This window comes from Homo sapiens, chromosome 9, assembly GCF_000001405.40.
Source record: "Homo sapiens chromosome 9, GRCh38.p14 Primary Assembly".
NCBI lineage: Eukaryota > Metazoa > Chordata > Mammalia > Primates > Hominidae > Homo > Homo sapiens.
Window position 1 is genome coordinate 83,838,979 of NC_000009.12, and position 21,250 is coordinate 83,860,228.

At 39.5% G+C, this 21,250-nt stretch overlaps 1 protein-coding gene and 1 long non-coding RNA gene across 34 annotated transcripts in view; one reads left to right on the forward strand and one right to left on the reverse strand.

The window, feature by feature from the left end:
- Nucleotides 1-21,250, reverse strand: part of KIF27 (kinesin family member 27) — an 87,334-nt gene that overhangs the window by 4,880 nt on the left and 61,204 nt on the right. For 24 of the 32 annotated variants that reach the window (NM_001271927.3, NM_001271928.3, NM_017576.4 and 21 more), the window contains 4 exons: nt 20,178-20,393; nt 14,651-14,857; nt 11,121-11,319; nt 3,259-3,423 (listed from right to left, as the gene is read on the reverse strand). In NM_001271927.3, coding sequence (NP_001258856.1) covers nt 3,259-3,423; nt 11,121-11,319; nt 14,651-14,857; nt 20,178-20,393 — 787 coding nt within the window. The other 8 variants (NM_001354071.2, XM_047423578.1, NM_001354069.2 and 5 more) reach the window with 3 other exon arrangements.
- LOC124900638 (uncharacterized) lies at nt 8,888-20,182 on the forward strand. 2 transcript variants are annotated; one of them, XR_007061620.1, is made up of 3 exons: nt 8,888-8,930; nt 10,394-10,613; nt 19,886-20,182. It is a non-coding gene; the product is annotated as an uncharacterized LOC124900638 (long non-coding RNA). The 2 variants fall into 2 exon arrangements; XR_007061621.1 differs by lacking the exon at nt 8,888-8,930 and adding an exon at nt 9,856-9,977.

A 21,250-nucleotide genomic window follows, 5' to 3' on the forward strand; every position in this document is an offset into this window, starting at 1 on the left:
AGTCACTGGGAAGCTTTAAAAAATCCTGCTCCCTAGCTGGGTGCGGTGGTTTATGCCTGTAGCCCCAGCTACTTGAGAGGCTGAGGTGGGAGGATTGCTCAAGCACAGGAGTTTGAGGCTACAGTGAGCCATGAATGTACCACTACCGGTAGCTCCAGCCTGGGCAACACAGCAAGACCCCAACTCTAAAAAAAAAATCCTGCTCCCCAGGTGACAGTATCTGGGGGAAGGAGTAAGGCATCTTATTTTCAAAAGATCTTAAGGAAAGAGTCTCATTGTTGAGGCTCACTCCAAAGCCCACTTGGATTCTTCACAAGAAAGTTTCCCTCTTCCAGAATTTTATAATTGAGGGAACCGACTAGGGAAAGATTAATTTGCCCAAGGTCAAACAACTAGTAAAAGAAGTAAGGATTCCAACCCAGATCTTTTGACTCTATTATCCTTACATATAGTTTTATAGTGATTTAAATTGATACAAGGATAGGTTTAAATACAAGTAGAGAGAATGTAGGTTCATATAAAACTGATTTTATCCTCATGTTAGAAAACATATACACTGTAACAGAGGGAGGACCATCAAGTGACCAAGATATTTTAGTCAAAAGATGAATTTTTCTGCAATTTGAAAATGCCAAAAATATTCAAAGAAAATATAATTCTTGTAGGCAGTCTTCTATCAAAACCCACTGAACCACCGGGCACGGTGGCTCACGCCTGTAATTCCAGCACTTTGGGAGGCCAAGGCTGGTGGATCACCTGAGGTCAGGAGTTTGAGACCAGCCTGGCCGACATGGTCTCTACTAAAAATACAAAAAATTAGCCGGGCCTGATGGTGGCGCCTGTAATCCCAGCTACTGAGTAGGCTGAGGTAGGAGAATCGTTTGAACCTGGGAGGTGGAGGCTGCAGTGAGCTGAGATAGCACCACTGCACTCCAGCCTGGGTAACAAGAGTGAAACTCCATTCAAAAACAAAAAACAAACAAACAGAAAAAACACTGCAGCAAATACCAAGATAGTTATTAACTAGGATACTGATTATTAAGCATGTAAAACATTTTATGAAACTCAGAGTTTGATATAAATTGCTATATTTTATAATTCAAACAAACCTTGTTTCATGTCATTATATTAGAGTAGCATTATGAGACAGGATATAGTGTAAACTATATCCCCAATATAATTGCAACTGTATATTTTAAAGCATGGGCAAAATATGAAAAGAATTATGCTCAAATGTGGGTAGGATTATAACTGATTTGTTTTCTTCATTTTCAGATTTTTCTATAATGACTATACATTATTTTTATAGCCAAAAATAGAAGCATTTTAAATGTTTCTAGGTAGAATAGCAAATTAGCTGAAATAGTATCTCCAACGTTATTATCAAGACTAGACTCCTTGGGTAAACTGGTCAGAACAGTGTTGTTCTCATTTTACACCTCTCCAAGATTAACTATGTTTTAGATTTGTCTGTTTGTTTGGTTAAAGAGCAGGATGAAGATCCAGATTTCTTAAACCTGTATACCACCATACTACATTGTCATTTTAAAGAAATGTCTAGTAGACTCGGTGGCATAAACATGGGCCATTTACAAACTAGATGTCTAATATCAGATACCTCAAATTTGACAGTAGACTTTTTTTCAAAGCTAAAGTGGTCTTATGTTGACTATTTTGTTTCTTACTTGATACTTGTTTACTTTTTAATTTTTGGCAAGTAATGTTTCAAGTTAAAGTTTTAGCTATATATAGCAGACAGTATTTCAAGTAAATGAGTTACATCAGTAAACACCTCTGTATTACTATACTGAGAATCAGAAAGTGTAATCTCTTTGGCAGGATTCGTATGTTTGTATCACGTCTTTATCCTCAGGCAACTTTTATCTTGGAATACTGAACCAGCAGTCAGAAGATGAGGGACATTAGACTGTGTTATAGTTACTGTTCTGTCCTTAAGTCACTTGCCTTCTCTAAGCGTCAGTTGCCTCATCTGAAAATGGAGTTAGCAGACCCCAGCCTATCCTGAGTTTGAGGGCTAAAGGGAATTATTCTTGAAAATGTCTATACATGATAAATGTCACAAATATAAGTTAGCATTTTTTTTTTTTTGAGACAGAGTTTCGCTCTTGTTGCCCAGGTCGGGGTGCAATGTCGTGATCTCAGCTCACTGCAACCTCCGCCTCCCGGGTTCAAGCGATTCTCCTGCCTCAGCCTCCTGAGTAGCTGGGATTACAGGCATGCACCATCACACCTGGCTAATTTTGTATTTTTTAATAGAGACGGGGTTTCACCATGTTGGTCAGGTTGGTCTCGAACTCCTAACCTCCGGTGATCCACCCGCCTTGGCCTCCCAAAGTGCTGGGATTACAGGCATGAGCCACCGCACCTAGCCAATTCTACTTCTATTACATTTTCAGCATATATCACTTCATTGCTCCTCCATATTATTTTTCACTGGTCTTCTTACATCTTGTGTGCCCATCTTTAAGTAGTTTTCTTTCCAGGTAAAAAATACATGTGTGCCTAAAAGATTTTAAAGTCAACTTTTCATAAACCATACTTAAATTATCGAAGTTATTAGAATTATTAGAAATTATCAGCTAATTCTTTTATAAAATGTAGACTTTATTATTTTAGAAATATTGATTCCTCTCTATTCAGCTATCTTAAAGAGGGTATATTTTAATCATAGGAATATATTACCTTCATAGTATTTTTTATTTTTGCAAAGTATATTTTGTCATGTTATTTCATTTAGGAATGCACTAAATCTACATATCTACATATGATTATACAAGGAAACATCTTTGTCTCAAAAATAGGTTCTATTACATTTTTTAATTTCCAGGGTTCATGATATATAAAAATACCTGATTTATCTTAAAAATACAAACTTTTACTCTTACCTACCATACATCTTTTTTTGTGATAATCAGAAGGCTTAATTTACTATAAAATAGGAAAACAACAGCTATGTTAGATAATATAGTTAATTTAGGGATTAAATGAGATAAGGTCTACAAGCCCCTGGCACATGGCAGACAATCAATAATTGATCATTTCCTTTGCATCTATAAATTTGTTCATTCACTTCTCATGTGGTTCTACTTTAGACAACGATTTTTGTTTACAGAGACAAATAGAAGTATCTAATCCTAAATAACCCAGTCAATTGGTAAAGGCTACACTACAAAGCTGGCATGACTTCACCAAATGCTAGAGAAACAGTGTTAAGAGTGACAACACTAAAAGTCTTACACTCTGATGGTGCTAGTTGCCGCCGAATTGCTTCCCCTACCAGTTCCTTAAGTTTCTTCTTATGATCCCGGCTGGTTTTCTTATAGAAATAAAGATCTTTTTCCAACTGCTGGATTTTATCTTCATATGTTTTGAAAGTTTCCATAATGCCTTCTCCATCTTGTTCTATACAACAAAAATTTGCATTTAAAATCAGTTTTAAATAAATGATGCAAAATTATGTTTTTGTTTGTTTGTTTTTTTTGAGACGGAGTCTCGCACTGTCGCCCAGGCTAGAGTGCAGTGGCGTGATATGCTCGGCTCACTGTAAGCTCCGCCTCCCAGGTTCACACCATTCTCCTGCCTCCGCCTCCCAAGCAGCTGGGACTACAGGTGCCTGGCACCACGCCCGGCTAATTTTTTTGTATTTTTAGTAGAGATGGGGTTTCATCATGTTAGCCAGGATGGTCTCGATCTCCTGACCTCGTGATCCGCCCGCCTCGGCCTCCCAAAGTGCTGGGATTACAGACATGAGCCACCGTGCCCGGCTGCAAAATTATGTTTTAACATAGGCCCTGGACTATATTTAAAGGATAAGAAGCATGTTACACATATCTGTTACCTGAATGGGTTTGTTTTCAGCTACCATTTGGATTTTTCTGCCTGTAAAATTTCCCAAAGTAGGATTGAGAGCCCTTAGTCACCTCCATCCTACCCCCTACCAACCCTCACACTTTCATAAGAATTTTTTTGCAGTAGCTACCAACTAGACCTATCCTTAGAACACCAGAAATAAGGTGTTTTCTATAAAAAGTTCAAGTTTGGAACTCTGTTCATTGGCTGCTTTAGTATCTTCTGTAAAGTTTATATCAGGAACTGTGGTTATATAAAAAGTCACATGACTAGGATTTATAGGCCCAAGAAATATACAGCCAAAACCCCCACAAAAACCAAAACCTGTTAAAAGAGGCCATAAAGACTAAATCACAAAGGAAAACACCACAGAAAAAGAAGAGGGAATATAATCCAGCATAAAGTTCTAGTTTATGCCACAATATAACTTAAAGTTTCTAAACTTTAAGTTTACAGGTAATAAAGTTTAGAAACTTTATTAATATTTTCATTAATATTTATGAATGTCTAACATTGTCTCCATTGGGTTATGCTCTTGAACCAGTGAAATCCAGTTTACTAACCTTCAGAAAAAACATAATTTCAGACCTACTCTCCCCTACTGGCATATTTATAAAATGATCCTACTGGTTTGTGATTTTCTTTGGTTACAATTGGCTGTTTTGTAGAATTTTGTTTAAGTATATTTGTATATTTTAAATTAGTCCATCATCTTGTTTTAAAAAATACTTAAAATTAATGAGATCATAAATCAGAATCCCCATAAAGTATGTCATATTAATCAACTTAATTTTATGTCCGATATTCAGTTGAAATTAGAAAATTCATGAATTGTTTACATTGTCAGTTATAACTTTGTTTTTATTTGATTTTCTATTACTATTATTTTTGAGACAGCATCTCACCCTGTTGCCCAGGGTAGAGTGTGTAGTGGTGCAATCATGGCTTACTACAGCTTCAACCTCCTGGGTTCAAATAATCTTCCCACCTTAGCCTCCGGGGTAGCTGGGACCACAGGCACATGCCACCATGCCTGGCTTAATTTTTTAAATTTTTGGTAGAGATGGTGTGATGGTTACTACTGAGTGTCAACTTGTTTGGACTGAAAGATGCCAAGTATTGATGCCAAGTATTGAGTGTGTCTGTGAAAGTGTTGCCAAAGGAGGTTAACATTTGAGTCAGTGGGCTGGGGAAGGCACACCCACTCTTAATCTGGTGAGAACCATCTCATCAGCTGCCAGCGAATATGAAGCAGGCAGAAAAAGGCGAGACTGACCTAGCCTCCCAGCCTACATCTTTCTCCCATGCTGGATGCTTCCTGTCCTCGAACATCAGACCCCAAGCTCTTCAGTTTCGAGACTCAGACTGGCTCTCCTTGCTCCTCAAGCTTGCAGACAGCCTACTGTGGGACCTTGTGATTGTGTAAGTTAATAATAAACTCCCCTTTATATATATAGAGAGAGATATAGATATATAGATAGCTATATATATTTATATAGATATCTATATCTATATCTATATCTATATATCTCCTATTAGTTCTATCCCTCTAGAGAACCCTAATACAGGTTTTGGTACCAGGAGTGGCTCTAAAGGAACAGAATATTAAGGATGGAGTTCTTTTGTTGGTTTTGGGGTTTCTGGAGTTGGCTGCTTAATCTGATTAGACCCAAAAATGCTAAGGACTCTACTCCTAATAGTATGGAGAACACTGATAGTCCTTGACATGAACTGTTTACAGAATTATGCAAAATAAATGCATTTGACACTCCTGATTCACTGCTCATGAGAGGCAAGGAGTTTAGTGACTCTGTGTAATAAATTTGACCATATGTGGAGAACCAAGGAACATAATGAAGCTGGTTGGTTGCTCCTAAGTTCAGTGGACAAAGTGATGAAAGAAAATGATGAACTCTTCTACCTCAGTAAAATTTCTAGGGGTCCAGTGGTGTGGGGCCTGTCGAAATATTCCTTCTAAGGTGAAGGATAAGTTGCTACATTCGGCCCTTCCTACAACCAAGAAAGAGGCACAATGCCTAGTGGGCCTATCTGGATTTTGAAGGCAGCACATTCCTCATTTGGGTGTGTTACTCTGGCCCATTTATTGAGTGACCTGAAAGGCTGCCAGTTTTGAATGGGGTCCACAACAGGAGAAGGCTCTGCAATAGGTCCAGGATGCTGTGCAAGCTGCTCTGCCACTTGGGCCATATGACCCAGCAGATCCAATGGTGCTTGAGGTGTCAGTGGCAGATAGGGATGCTGTTTGGAGCCTCTCCCAGGCCCCCCATAAGTGAATCACAGTGGAGGCCTCTAGAATTTTGGAGCAAGGCCCCGCCATCTTCTGCAGCTAACTACTCTCCTTTTAAGAGACAGCTCTTGGCCTGTTACTGGGCTTTGGTGGAAACTGAACGTTTGACTATGGGTCATCAAGTCACCATGCGACCTGAACTGCCTATCATGAACTGGGTGCTTTCTGACCTATCTAGCTATAAAGTGGGTCGTGCACAGCAGCATTCCATCATCAAATGGAAATGCTATATATGTGATCAGGCTCAAGCAGGTCCTGAAGGCATAAGTTACATGAGGAAGTGGCACAAATGCCCATGGTCTCCACTCGCCACCCTGCCTTCTCTCCTCCAGCCTGCACCGATGGCCTCATGGGGAGTTCCCTATGATCAGCTGACAGGGGAAGAGAAGACTAGGGCCTGGTTCACAGATGGTTCTGCACGATATGCAGGCACCACCTGAAAGTGGACAGCTGTGGCACTACAGCCCCTTTCTAGGACATCCCTGAAGGATACCAGTGAAGGAAAATCTTCCCAGTGGGCAGAACTTTGAACAGTGCACCTGGTTGTGCACTTTGCATGGAAGGAGAAATGGCCAGATATGCGGTTATATACCAATTCATGGGCTGTAGCCAGTGGTTTGGCTGGATGGTCAGGGACTTGGAAGAAGCATGATTGGAAAACTGGTGACAAAGAATTTTGGGGAAGAGGTATGTGGATGGACCTCTCTGAGTAGTCAAAAACTGTGAAGATATTTGTATCCCAAGTGAGTGCTCACCAACGGATGACCTCAGCAGAGGAGGATTTTAATAATCAAGTGGATATGATAACCCAGTCTGTGGATACCACTCAGCCTCTTTCCCCAGCCACCCCTGTCATTGCCCAATGGGCCCATGAACAAAGTGGCCATGGTGGCAGGGATGTGGGCTCAGCAACATGGACTTCCACTCACCAAGGCTGACCTGGCTACGGCCACTGCTGAGTGCCCAGTTTGCCAGCAGCAGAGACCAACACTGAGCCCTCAATATGGCACCATTCCTCAGGGTGATCAGCGAGCTACCTGGTGGCAGGTTGATTATATTGGACCTCTTCCATGACAGAAAGGGCAGAGGTTTGTCCTCACTGGAATAGACACTTACTCCGGATGTGGGTTTGCCTATCCTGCACGCAATGCTTCTGCCAAGATTACCATCCATGGACTCACAGAGTGCCTTATCCACTGTCATGGTATTCCACACAGCATCACCTCTGACCAAGTTACTCACTTTATGGCTAAAGAAGTGTGGCAGTGGGCTCATGCTCATGGGATTCACTGGTCATTCATGGGATGAAGGTCCCCATCATCCTGAAGCAGCTAGATTGATGGAACGGTGGAATGGCCTTTTGAAGTCACAATTACAATGCCAATTACATGACAATACTTTGCAGGGCTGGGACAAAGTTCTCCAGAAGACTGTGTATGCTCTGCATCAGCATCCAGTATATGGTACTGTTTCTTCCATAGCCAGGATTCACGAGTCCAGGGACCAAGGGGTGGAAGTGGAAGTGGCACCACCCACCATCACCCCTAGTGATCCATTAGCAACATTTTTGCTTCCTGTTCCCGCAATATTATGTTCTGCTGGCCTAGAGGTCTTTGTTTCAGAGGAAGAAACACTGCCACCAGGAGACACAACAATGATTCCATTAAACTGAAAGTTAAGATTGCCACCTGGACACTTTGGGCTCCACCTACCGTTAAGTCAGCAGGCTACGAAGGGAGTTACAGTGTTGGCTGGGGTGACTGACCTGGACTATCAAGATGAAATCAGTCTACTACTTCATAACAGAGGTAAGGAAGAGTATGCAAGAAATACAGGAGATCCATTAGGGCGTCGCTTAGTATTACCATGCTCTGTGATTAAGGTCAACTGGAAACTACAACAGCCCAATCCAGTCACAACTAAAAATGGTCCAGACCCTTCAGGAATGAAGGGTTGGGTCACTCTACTAGGAAGAAAACCCACAACCTGCTGAGCTGCTTGCTAAAGGCAAAGGGAATACAGAATGGGTAGCAGAAGAAGGTGGTCATCAATACCAGCTACGACCATGTGACCAGCCGCAGAAACGAGGACTGTAACTGTCATAGTTCCTCCTTATTTTGTTAAAAACATGTTTGTGCACATATACACTTGTACTAAGAAAATATCTTCATTTTATTTCCTTTTTCCTTTATCATGTGACATAAGATTTATTGACTTCACATCAGCATTTAAGTACTGTTAACTTTATGTAATAGCATTTGGGTTGGGGATTGGTGCATTTCCGGTTGTATGAAGGATAGTTGTATTATGTGAGGTGTAATTATAACCTTATTATTGTCTTTATTTGAAGATTATGTATGATCTCAGGAGATGTGTATGAGCTCAAACTGACAAGGGATGGACTTGTGATGGTAAATACCGAGTGTCGACTGGATTGAAGGATGCAAAGTATTGATCCTGGGTGTGTCTGTGAGGGTGTTGCCAAAGGAGGTTAACATTTGAGTCAGTGGGCTGGGGAAGGCAGATCCAACCTCAATCTGGTGCGCCATCTAATAAGCTGCCAATGAATATAAAGCAGGCAGAAAAACATAAGAAGGTGAGACTGGCCTAGCCTCCCAGCCTGCATCTTTCTCCCATGCTGAATGCTTCCTGTCCTCGAACATCAGACTCCAAGTTCTTTAGTTTTGAGACTCGGACTGGCTTCCTTGCTCCTCAAGCTTGCAGACAGCCTATTGTGGGACCTTGTGATCATGTAAGTCAATACTTAATAAACTCCCCTTTATGTTTATATATATATTTATATAATATAAATCCTGTATATTTTATATATCCTATATATTTTATATATCTATATATCATATATGCTATATCTATATCTATATATATCTACATATATCTATATATCATATATATGATATATGATATATCATATATATGATATATATGATATCTCATATCTGATATATCTGATATCTCATATATGATATATCTGATATATCATATATGATATATCTGATATATCATATATGATATATATGATATATCAGATATGATATATATGATATATCAGATATGATATATATGATATATCAGATATGATATATATGATATATCAGATATGATATATATGATATATCAGATATGATATATATGATATATCATATATCTATATATCTATATATATCTATGTATCTATATATATCTACATATATCTACATATATCTATATATCATATATGCTATATATGCATATATGATATATATGTATATATCTATATATCATATATGCTATATGTATATATCTATATCTATATGTATATATACATATAGATATGTATATATCTATATATAGCTATATATGCATATATACATATATATCTATGTATATACATATATCTATATCTATATATAGATCTATATATATCATATATGCTATATGAATATATGCATATATGCATATATGATATATATATGCTATTCTGTCCCTTTAGAGATCCTTGATTAATACAGATGGGGTCCCACTATGCTGCCCAGGCTGCTTTCAAGTAAGCCTCCCACCACAACCTTCCAGAATGCTGGGATTATAGGCATGAGCCACTGCACCCAGCCACAACTTTGTTATGAACAATTTGTACAGCTATAGAAATGAATGACTTTTTTACTTTTTTTTTTTTTGAGACAGGGTCTTAACTCTGTCACCCAGGCTGGAGTGCAGTGGTGTGACCACAGCCACTGCAGGCTCAACCTCTGGGACTCAGGTGATCCTCCCATCTCAGCCTCCCAAGTAGCTGGGACTACAGGTGTGTGCCACCACGCTTGGCTAGTTTTCTGTATTTTTTGTAGAGATGGGGTTTCGCCATGTTATCCAGGCTGGTCTCGAACTTCTGGGCTCAAGCAATCCTCTTGACTCAGCCTCCCAAAGTGCTGGGATTACAGGGATGAGCCACCATGTTTGGCCAAGTTTTTATATATTCTTATTTGGCTATAGCATGAACTTTTGTGGTATAATCCCACTCACTTTAAAAAATATTAAAATATCAGTTTCAGAACTAAACTAAGGTAAGGAGAGCATGTTTGAATGTAATGATGTGTGAGATCTTGCCAGGAAATTGTCATTAGGCAACTGGTTGCTAATTAACCAGTGACAGAATTAACTTAGAAGCAAATTGCCTCAACACTCAAATTCACAGATTTTTCCAATTTTCTGCTTACTCAGGTTGCTTCTTCCAGATCCCTTTTGATCTACTTTCAGCTATGGATTCATGAGAATCAAGACTAAGCAGCCTGAATTGAAGGAGTAACAGTATCACCTAACAATGATTTTGCTGCCATAGTAGCTGTTTGTATACTGGCCATATGCCTAGGTAAAATGAGGCCAGATCACTCTCAAGAGTTTTCTATCAGAGTTGGTGGTGAACTACTGCTCACGGATAATGGTATGTGCCCATCAATGGCAGTATAATTTTGACCCAAGATATTACTTTAATGCATAAAATTTTATAATCAACTGACAATTATAACCAGAAATATAACTAGGAATATGACAGAACCTATCACTTTAATTTTGTGAGTGGAAAATAACTTAAATATGATAGTATTATATCCCTGAGAAATAAAAAAAAATTCAACTGTATACCAAAAAGCCTGAATCAATCCCACATTTCTACATAAAAACTAGACCAACAACAAGCTGACAGGATTGTAGCAGTTCTTATGTGCATACTGGAGGCAGGCAGAAGGGATGGCATTCCAAGCACGAATAGCCCTACAACAAAGTCAACTGTCCCAAAATGCGGCAACCAAAACATGTAAAGCCCAAAAACTTGTCTAAGTAGCAACTATTTAAACATGTTGACCTTTTAAGTGATCAAATTCTGTCCTATCTTCCTTCAGTACCCACACCTACACATCAACCTTACATAACTGTCAAAAGGGGAAGTTACCTTTGAAATGATGTAATAGCAACTGCATCTTTTGTTCGTGTTCCTTTTGCTGGAGGGTCAGTCTCCGGTCACACTGCAATTTTAGATGGTCCAGTGCAGATTCTAATTCACGAACCATATTATCCCGTTCCAGAACTTTCATTTTCATTTCTTCATTATATAACTGTTGTTTCCGTTCAGCTTCTCGCAAATTCACCACCTAACAAATACATATTTTGACCTGTTAAGTGTGTCTTAGATAAGCTAATATAATAATCTACTTTTCTTAGGCTACTTCAAGATGAACTTCCTTAATCTCCATAGTGTAAATGATTCCTGCCAGGTATTGGGTCCTTAGGCAAATGCTTTGTAACATATTCACAAAACAACCTAACAGCCTTTTGAATTTGTTGGAGTTCAGGCCAGGCACAGTGGCTCACGCCTGTAGTCCCAGCAGTTTGGGAGGCTGAGGTGGGGGGGATCGCTTGAGGTGAGGAGTTCGAGACCAACCTGACCAACATAGTAAAACCCCGTCTCTACTAAAAAATATATAAAATTAGCTGGGTGTGGTGGTGCACGCCTGTAATCCCAGCTACTTGGGAGGCTGAAGCAGGAGAATGGCTTGAACCTGGGAGGCGGAGTCTGCAGTGGAGCCAAGATCGCCCCATTGCACTCCAGCCTGGGTGCAAGAGCAAAACTCTGTCTCAAAAAAAAAGAATTAATTTGTTGGAATTCTGAATTGATGACATTTTCTTTTTTTTTTTTTTTTTTTTTTTTTTTTGAGGAGTCTCGCTCTGTCATCCAAGCTGGAGTGCAGTGGTGCAATCTCGGCTCACTGCAAGCTCCGCCTCCCGGGTTCATGCCATTCTCCTGCCTCAGCCTCCCAAGTAGCTGGGACTACAGGCGCCCGCCACCACGCCCAGCTAATTTTTTGTATTTTAGTACAGATGGGGTTTCACCGTGTTAGCTAGGATGGTCTCAATCTCCTGACCTCGTGATCTTCCTGCCTCAGCCTCCCAAAGTGCTGGGATTACAGGCGTGAGCCACCACGCCCAGCCGACACTTTCATTTTTAATATACTGTTGCTCTAATAATCACCCTTCCATAATTTCTTAAATGTAATCTATGCAGTTTACATTTAATAATTCTGTAACTTTATTTCTCTAGTCTAAGTGGATAGTGAGAGGGCAAAGATTCTTGAAACATCTAGACAATTCCAAGTTTTAACTCCAGAATGGATGTTATAAATAAGTGACAGTTTGGGTGTTTTGTTGTTGTTGTTGTTATTGTTAAGATGGAGTCTCACTCTGTCACCTCAGGTTGGAGTGCAGTGGTGCAATCATAGTTCACTGCAGCTTCCAACTCCTGAGATCAAGTGATCCTCCCACCTCAGCCTCCCACATAGCTGGGACCACAGGTACATGCCATCATGCCTGGCTAAGTTTTTTAAAAAATATTTTCGTAGAGACGGTCTCACTATGTTGCCCAAGCTGGTCTTGAATTCCTGGCCTCAAGTGATCCTACTGCCTTGGTGTCCCAAAGCACTGGGATTATAGGCGTGAGCCACCACACCCAGCCATGTTATGCATTTTGTCTACTGGATTCTTCCCTGCTGATGTGAAGTAAAAATACTTCAGACAATGTCTATATCACAGAACTTGTTAATAATCTAATGACCTCTCCAGAAAAATAATCATTAATACAAGGGTTCCCAGGATCAGAAAATCCACTGACCTTAGCCAGGTTGCCTTGCTTTAAGAGTAGCACAAGGGCCAGGCACCGTGGCTCACACCTGTAATCCCAGCACTTTGGGAGGCCGAGGCGGGAGGATCACGAGGTCAGGAGTTTGAGACCAGCCTGGCCAACATGGTGAAACCCCATCTCTACTAAAAATACAAAAATGAGCTGGGCATGGCAGCACACGCCTGTGATCCTAGCTACTCAGGAGGCTGAGGCAGGAGAATTGCTTGAACCCGGGGGGCGGAGGTTGCAGTGAGCTGAGATCACACCAGTCTGGACAACAGAGTGAGAGTCCATCTCAGGGAAAAAAAAAATAAAAGAACAGCATAAAGAGTTATCTCTATCAGCCTGGGCGCGGTGGCTCACGCCTGTAATCCCAGCACTTTGGGAGGCCGAGGCAGGCGGATCATGAGGTCAGGAGATCGAGACCATCCCTGTCTAACATGGTAAAACCCCGTCTCTACTAAAAAAAAAATACAAAAAAAATTAGCCAGGTGTGGTGGCGGGCATTTGTAGTCCCAGCTACTCAGGAGGCTGAGGCAGGAGAATGGCGTGAACCTGGGAGGCAGAGCTTGCACTGAGCCGAGATCACGCCACTGCACTCCAGCCTGGGCGACAGAGCGAGACTCTGTCTCAAAAAAAAAAAAAAAAGTTATCTATGTCAAAGCACTCCACTATCTTTCTACCCTCCAAACATGCAGCAATAGGATGCACTCTCATCAATAACAATAACAGTAGCTTACTACTGATGATGATTATCCAAGAGGAGGCTGTGCATAACATTTTCATTTATCTTATTTCACAGAATTATAATTTTATTTAATTTTTTTGAGACAGGCTGTTGTTCTGTTGCCCCAGACTGAAGTGCAGTAGTGATCATAGCTCACTACAAACTCAAATTCCTGGGCTCATGTGATCCTCCTGCCTCAGCCTCCCAAGTATCTGGGACTACAGGTGTATGCTACCATACCCGGCTAATTTTGGTATTTTTTGTAGAGAAAGGATCTCAAATTCTGGGCTCAAGTGATTCTCTTGACTCAGCCTCCCAAAGTGCTGGGATTACAGGCATGAGCCACTGCACCTGGCCTTAGGACTTTATTTTAAAATATCAGTGTTTTATTTTTCATTAATTGTCTGATATTCCCATAAATTGAATGTACTTTTCAGAGAAGACTTATCTCATTGTTTAACACTTCGTAATATATAACTTAAGTGGAAAAGACATTAGAGAAAAGACAGATATAGTTCTCAATGCTATGAAACATCTCTGGATCAGTAAATTGTCTAATCTGTAAAAAATACATTTTAATTGATTTAAGCACATTCAGGTTAATAAAATCTACTATTATCTTTGCCACTGATACACCACTTCATCTTCATTTCAACTCATACATGATGAGAAAGTACAGATTCCCCTACCCTGCAGCAATGAAGGAAAGGGAATCAAAACTTGGAGGGCCCTTGATTTTTCATGAGTGCCAGGTAGAACATCCAAATCTAGAAAACATCCAAGAAATAATGAGCAAGGAATATAACTTAAATTCTTTGGTTTTAAAAACTTTCAAAAAGGACTTCTTTTGAAAGGCCCTCCAACTTTAAGAACCTCACAAAGTTAGGCCTACATCTTTGGATAATCACAAAGCTTTCAGATGACAACATTTAGTTCTATAAAGAGAAATCATGCTTAAATTTGTAGTTACATCATCAAATCTTTAAGCCTTTCAATTTCTTTAAAAATTCAAAATAAATATAGGATGTAAGCATCTTGACCCATCTTTATAAGAAAAATATTCTGACCCTCAAAAACAAACCTTATTGAAATATCTGAAAAGAATAGTTCTAATCTCAACAGGACTCAGGCAAGCTAGCTTTTCCAAGACATTTGCTTCACCACGAGAGAGGTTATGGAATGATGCTCTAAGTGACTTCTGGCGATTCTGGATACTTTCATTCCTGTATTCAATTGCAGCTTCCAAAGCTTCAATCCCTTCTTCAAGTTGGAAAAGAACATGTTCTTCCTAGATATAACAGAAATCACTCATTTTAAATGAAATAGTATAACTTTGACTTTGTCATATACTCAGATCCTCCTAAGCTATTTGAGTCTAATGGATATTACCACTCTTGTACTAGATTTTAAGAAAATGTTTTTTGAGCGCTTGCTATGCCACATAATGCAGTGTGTGTATACATGTGTGTATACACACACATAAACACACACACACAACATATTAACATAATCATTAAGCCGTCACAATAAACCTGATGGAGTAAAATGGAAAAGACAGAAGTTTAGGGGAGTTCTGAAATGTTCCAAGGTTATACAACAAATGCTGATCATCTAATCCACGGAATATACTTGAACAAAGCCTAAGCCCACAGGATTAGCAGTATTGTCATATATCTCCTCCATAACCCCTAAAGTGCATATTGTGTGTCAATATTTCCACTAGTGAGATCTAGAGACTCACTGTTGTCCCTTCAGTGATCTATCAAAACAATATACTGCCTAGAGGGAATAACTTATTCTAAATGTTAGAATAAGTTATTAAGAACTAGTAATAAAAAAGCACAATATGGCATAAAAAAGTAGTGAGGATTTAAGTATCTGAAATATTTCATAAGATTCCTATGAAATGTTATTAGAAGGAAAATGTAGGTGTTAAAAATAGGGCAACGTAGTATTTTTTCACATACTAGAGAAGATCGATGAATCCCTGTAGGAAAACCTACAAGTTCTCTTTTTCCTTTTCTTTTTTTATTTTGGACACAGGGTCTCGCTATGTTGCCCAGGCTGAACTCAAAAGTCTTGGGCCCAAGCGAACCTCCTACCTTGCCGTCCTGAGTAGCTGGGACTACAGGCACATGCCACCATGCCCAGCTCTTCCAGTTCTTTGAACTATCCAAATACATGTTATGTTGGTGATACAAATCTGTGGTAAAGAATTACTTCAGATTGGTGAGATTTGGATATATGTTTCCATATACCCATACCTATTGTGGAGGCCACCTTGATAAGTTCCTGTGGCAGACTATCTTGTCCATCTGCACACCCTTATTGCCTAGCACAGTACCTATCACATAGTTTGAACTCAATATCTGTTGACTTAATGAAGAAAGAAGAGAAAAAAGTTTCATGTGTCCTTGGTTACAGGACCCATGTTATTTCTCTCCACTCCTTCCCCTAACATCCCAAAGGAAAATAATATGAATATTTCTTTCTTTTTTTTTTTGACAGGGTCTCACTCACTTTGTCATCCAGGCTGGAGTGCAGTGGTGGGATCTCAGCTCACTGCAACCTCCACCTCTTGGGTTTAAGCAATTCTCCTGCCTCAGCCTCCCAAGTAACTGGGATTACAGGTGCATGCCACCACGCCTAGCTAATTTTTGTATTTTTAGTTGAGAAGGGGTTTTGCCACATTGGCCAGGCTGGTCTTGGAACTCCTGACTTCAGGTGATCTCCCTGCCTCAGCCTCCCAAAGTGATGGGATTACAGGTGTGAGCCACCATGCCTGGCCAATAGTGTGAATATTTCTGATCTACCTAAAGAAAAATGTTCACCAGCCATTCTATTTCTCTGTGCAATCACTAACCATATGGAATTTGATGGTTTGATAATTGCTCCATAAGGAATAAAATAATATTCACCTTTTCAAGAAAAAAACCCCTTAAATACTAAAATGTACTTAGGTGAATGAATAAGAGGAGCCACAAATAAAAGTGAATTATCCAATATAGAGTAAGTCCTTATCATCAATAGGTTCTTGGAAACTGTGACTTTAAGAGAAACAATACATAACGAAACAAATTTTTTTTCTTATTAACTTTGTAACAAAAGCAACTATGTTGAAGGAAAACAGTGTAATTTGAGGACCTGATGTACATGGTGTCTCTTAAAGTCACAATTTCCAAGAACCTATCCACAATGTTCAGTGAGGACTTTACTGTACTTGACTTTTGAATTTATACTGTGACTATATTTTATCAAAAACAAATGTGAAGAGTTTGCCTTTATACATGGCTGAGGACAATTTCGTATAAATTCAGTTTCTATGGTTTTGGATCTAAGTTAAGGAAGTACTGAGATAATATAAGGTAGTGTGAATATAGAAACCCAAGGACAGCCCGCTCCAGTGAGGCTGCAGCATATCAGTGTTTGCAGTTCCCTCTAACTCAGCAATAGGTGTAGGCTGACAAGATACGTGGCAATGGGTAAGTAACTATCCTGGGATGAAAAATTTGCCACAATACAAACCACAGGTTATCAAGAGTTGACTCTGCTTTATGATAGAGCACTGCTTTTCAACTTTAATGTGTACCCAGGAGCTCACTAGAATTCAGATTCTGATCCAGCAGGTCCACTTGGGGCCTGAGGATCTGCATTTCTAACAAGCCTCCAAGTGATGCTGTTGCTGCTGGTCCAGAGACCAAGTAAAATGAAACAAAAAACTAACAACAACTTTTGAGCAAGCACTGCAGAGATTTCCCTGTAAATTTTATGTTCTCGGCAGGGTGTGGTGGTTCAAGGCCTGTAAACCCAGCACTTTGGGAGGCTGAGGCGGGTGGATCACTTGAGGTCAGGAGTTCGAGACCAGCCTGACCAACATGGCGAAACCTCATCTCTACTAAAAATACAAAAATTAGGCCAGGTGCAGTGGCTCACACCTGTAATCCCAGCACTTTGGGAAGCCGAGGTGGGTGGATCATGAGGTCAGGAGATCGAGACCATCTTGGCCAACATGGTGAAACCCCATCTCTACTAAAATACAAAAAACTAGCCAAGCATGATGGCACTTGCCTGCAGTGCCAGCTACTCAGGTGGCTGAGGCAGGGGAATCGCTTGAACCAGGCAGGCGGAGGTTGTAGTGAGCTGAGATCACGCCACTGCACTCCAGCCTGGTGACAGAGCAAGACTCCGTCTCAAAAAAAAAAAAAAAAAAAAATTAGCTGGGCATGGTAGCGCACATCTGTAATCCCAGCTACTGGGGAGGCTGAGGCAGGAGAATTGCTTGAACCCAGGAGATGGAGGCAGTGAGCCGAGATCGCACCACTGCACTCCACCCTGAGTGACAGAGTGAGACTCCATCTCAAAAAAAAAAAAAAAAAGTATGTTCTCATCATAAAATGAGAAATTAAAAGTTTAAAAGATTAGATAAACATAATAGTTCTTATATTTTCCTCCCTACTTATTAAGCAACTACTCTGTATTATTAGAAATCTAAAGTTCAGGTATTCTTTAATTTTAGTTTCTGGATTTTACCAAAAAAAAAAAAAAAAAGCGGTGTGACTTGTCTGTAGTAAATTGTTGGGTAATCTTCTATTAGTGTAACGATCTAAAATCTTTCTATCCATTTCCATAAAGTAATAAAATTAGGAAAAATATTTTAATTTACTGTGGAAAGAGAAAATTATCCTAAACAAGCTTAAAGACATTAAGATAGCAAACCATTCCAACTAGATTTTATTGATACCTTGTGTCGTCACATCAGAATCTCATGTTCTCGATCATCTGCTAGTGACAGATCTATTTGGAATATTAACCTTGGCTTTAAAATCGTGATAAGAGCAGAGCCTCACTTGAGAGGTACACTAAGAAGAACCAACCATGTGGAAGAAAGGTGCATAGAAGCTCATGTGAGTAAGTAGAACTCTACCAGTTGTAGGAGGCTCATCATTCCCTCAAACCCCAGTCCAGAATAGCCGCAAAATAGGTATCATGCGCCATACTATATTTTCACCACAAATCTGTAAATAACGTTTTTTGTTATGGGATCCCACATGAAATAGAAACCTAAATGTTTCTTGATATTAATGGAACTCTACCCTACTGCAAACATAATTTGTTAATTCTCATCTCTGTGCCTTCTTCAAAGATGTTCTGTCTAAAACGGACTTCTTTCTTGTATCTGCCAGTGCATATCATGTTTTTCATAATCTAGCTCAAGATTCTGATCTACTGAGGCTGCCTTGATGAATCTTCCCCCAAATGATCACTTCATTGCTTTGAATAAATAATGTAAGAGGTATAGCTGTAATACATTATCCACAACTTGATTTTCAATGTCCTTCAGAGTTTAGAGTTTTCTTATATTTCTATCTGTTTTCCCAAATAGAGTATTAATTTCTCAAGGGAAACATAATACTTTGGGTTTTTTTTTTTTTTTTTTGCTTCTTCTATCTTCTATAGAGCTTAGTAATAGTCACCGGCAGGCAGAATTCCTTAAATATTTGAATTCTGCTGTATCTTAGGCTCTCATGTCTTCAAATCTATAACCCTTAGGCTCCAATTTAATACCTTGGGAGGACAGCCTGGCTCTCTGTTCCTCTGCACAGCTACCCAGCTTAAGTTATAAAACAGGGCAACAGAGGTCTATAATGTTCCTTTCAACTGCCACTTAGCCCCCAATCAAGGATTGATTTGTAAGTCAATCCTTTCATCAATTCTCAGTGAGCAACAATCTAATGTTATCCTTGCTCCTATTTCTTAACTAGCCCCTATAACTTCCTGTCACTTGCTCCAAACTAAAACATTACAAGATTCACCACTGTGTGTGATTCTCAGCTATTCACCTTCTCTTAGCAATTTTCCCTTGGTTTGGTAATGATGAGACACCAACAATAAATATTTGCAGAGGAAGTTCAGATTCAAAAATTCATCTTTCTCTGATGAAGTAAGGTAAAGGTACCACTGCCAACTGACTGAAAATTTTGAAAAAAGACAAAGTCTGGGGCAATTTGACAGCCCATAAATGAATCATCTTCTACATAGTTTTAAAAAACTATAACTAAAACTATAGTTTTAAAAAAACTGTATAACTAAAAGGTCTTTTACTGGGATTGGAATTTTGTGCATCTATTTGGCTGGACATAGTATGGACACTGGGCCTTCTAAACCAAGGTTTCATGGAAAGAATTAACCCCTAATTCCTTAGGCATCTCTTGTATGTAATAAATTACCTAGTATCATTCAAGAAATATGTATAGAGAAAAGTCAGGTGCCCTCCAGAAGAGTCCCTCAAATCATTTTCTATGTTCTGTGATTTCAGACGAGAAACCCCAGCTGAGGAGGCAAATATACTCAAGGAAAGTAATAGTTTCCAAATGCCTGGCAGTGCCAGGAAGGGGCCATGTCCATGGACCACTATGTAAGGATATCTCAGTCTCTAGTCCAGCGTGGTTTATGGTGCCAAATAAGTGCCAGGTGAACTCACTACATCTGACAAAATCTCAAGGAACCAAGTTTACCAGATAATATTTATGATTATGTGAAAAAGACTGAGGAAATCACTCAAGTGATCCATCATACAGCACCTCCAGTTCCAAAGAATACTGACTTACTTCAGGTGATAACACTCTACCATTTTTAAGTTTTTCATCCACATTGTGTCTGCGTTTCTGGAGCTGATCCTTTTCTTTCTGGAGGACTTCAACTTGTTCTGAAATCTTTGTTTTCTCCTCAGCTGTACTGGTCTGGAGCTGCACATTCTTTTCAGACAACTCTTGTTCCAGTAAGTTCAGGCGAGTTGATATTTTCAAACTATCTGTGTTTAAGGCCTAAAAGATACAACCCACCAGCCACCTCAAAAACAGTTACTAGAAATCTAGACTGCATAAAAATTAGGAAAAACATAGAGAAAATTGCTAAATGAATATATTTTTAGTTTTTATATTATTGTTTTCTCCCATGGATTTTTTTGAGGGAGGGGGTATTCATTTTCTTTTTTTGTTTTTGACATGGAGTTTTGCTCTTGTTCCCCAGGCTAGAGTGCAATGGTGCAACCTCAGCTCACTGCAACCTCCGCTTCCCAGGTTCAAGCGATTCTCCTGCTTCAGCCTCCCTGGTTGCTGGGATTACAGGTGCTCATCACCATGTGCAGCTAATTTTTTGTATTTTTAGTAGAGACAGGGTTTTACCATGTTGCCCAGGCTGGTCTCGAACTCCTGACCTCAGGTGATCCACCCACCTCAGCCCCCCAAAGTTCTGAGATTACAGACGTGAGACACTGCACCCGACCGGGGTGTTCATTTTCTAAAATCTTAAGTTGAATGCCTTTTAAAAAAAAAAAGTCTATTTAAACTCTGAGTTTACTGCCAAGAATTGCCTTGACTAGGTTTTCAGAGGCAGTATTTTTCTTTTTCCTTATTTTCTAAATTGAACTTTTCTTTCTTGGCTTACATTCTACATTGTAGAATTATGTTACAATTTACTAGGGGTTGAGATGTGGTGTGTTTAAACATATGATTGGTTGGCTTAAACATATAATTTGTTTTTACTTGTATTTCATTCTGATCAGAAAATATGGTCAGATTTATGGAGATGTTCACTATGGTCAAATATCAGGTAATTTGTAAATTACTGTTCACAGTAATTATTTGTATATACTACCATAAGGTTTATTATAGAGACACAT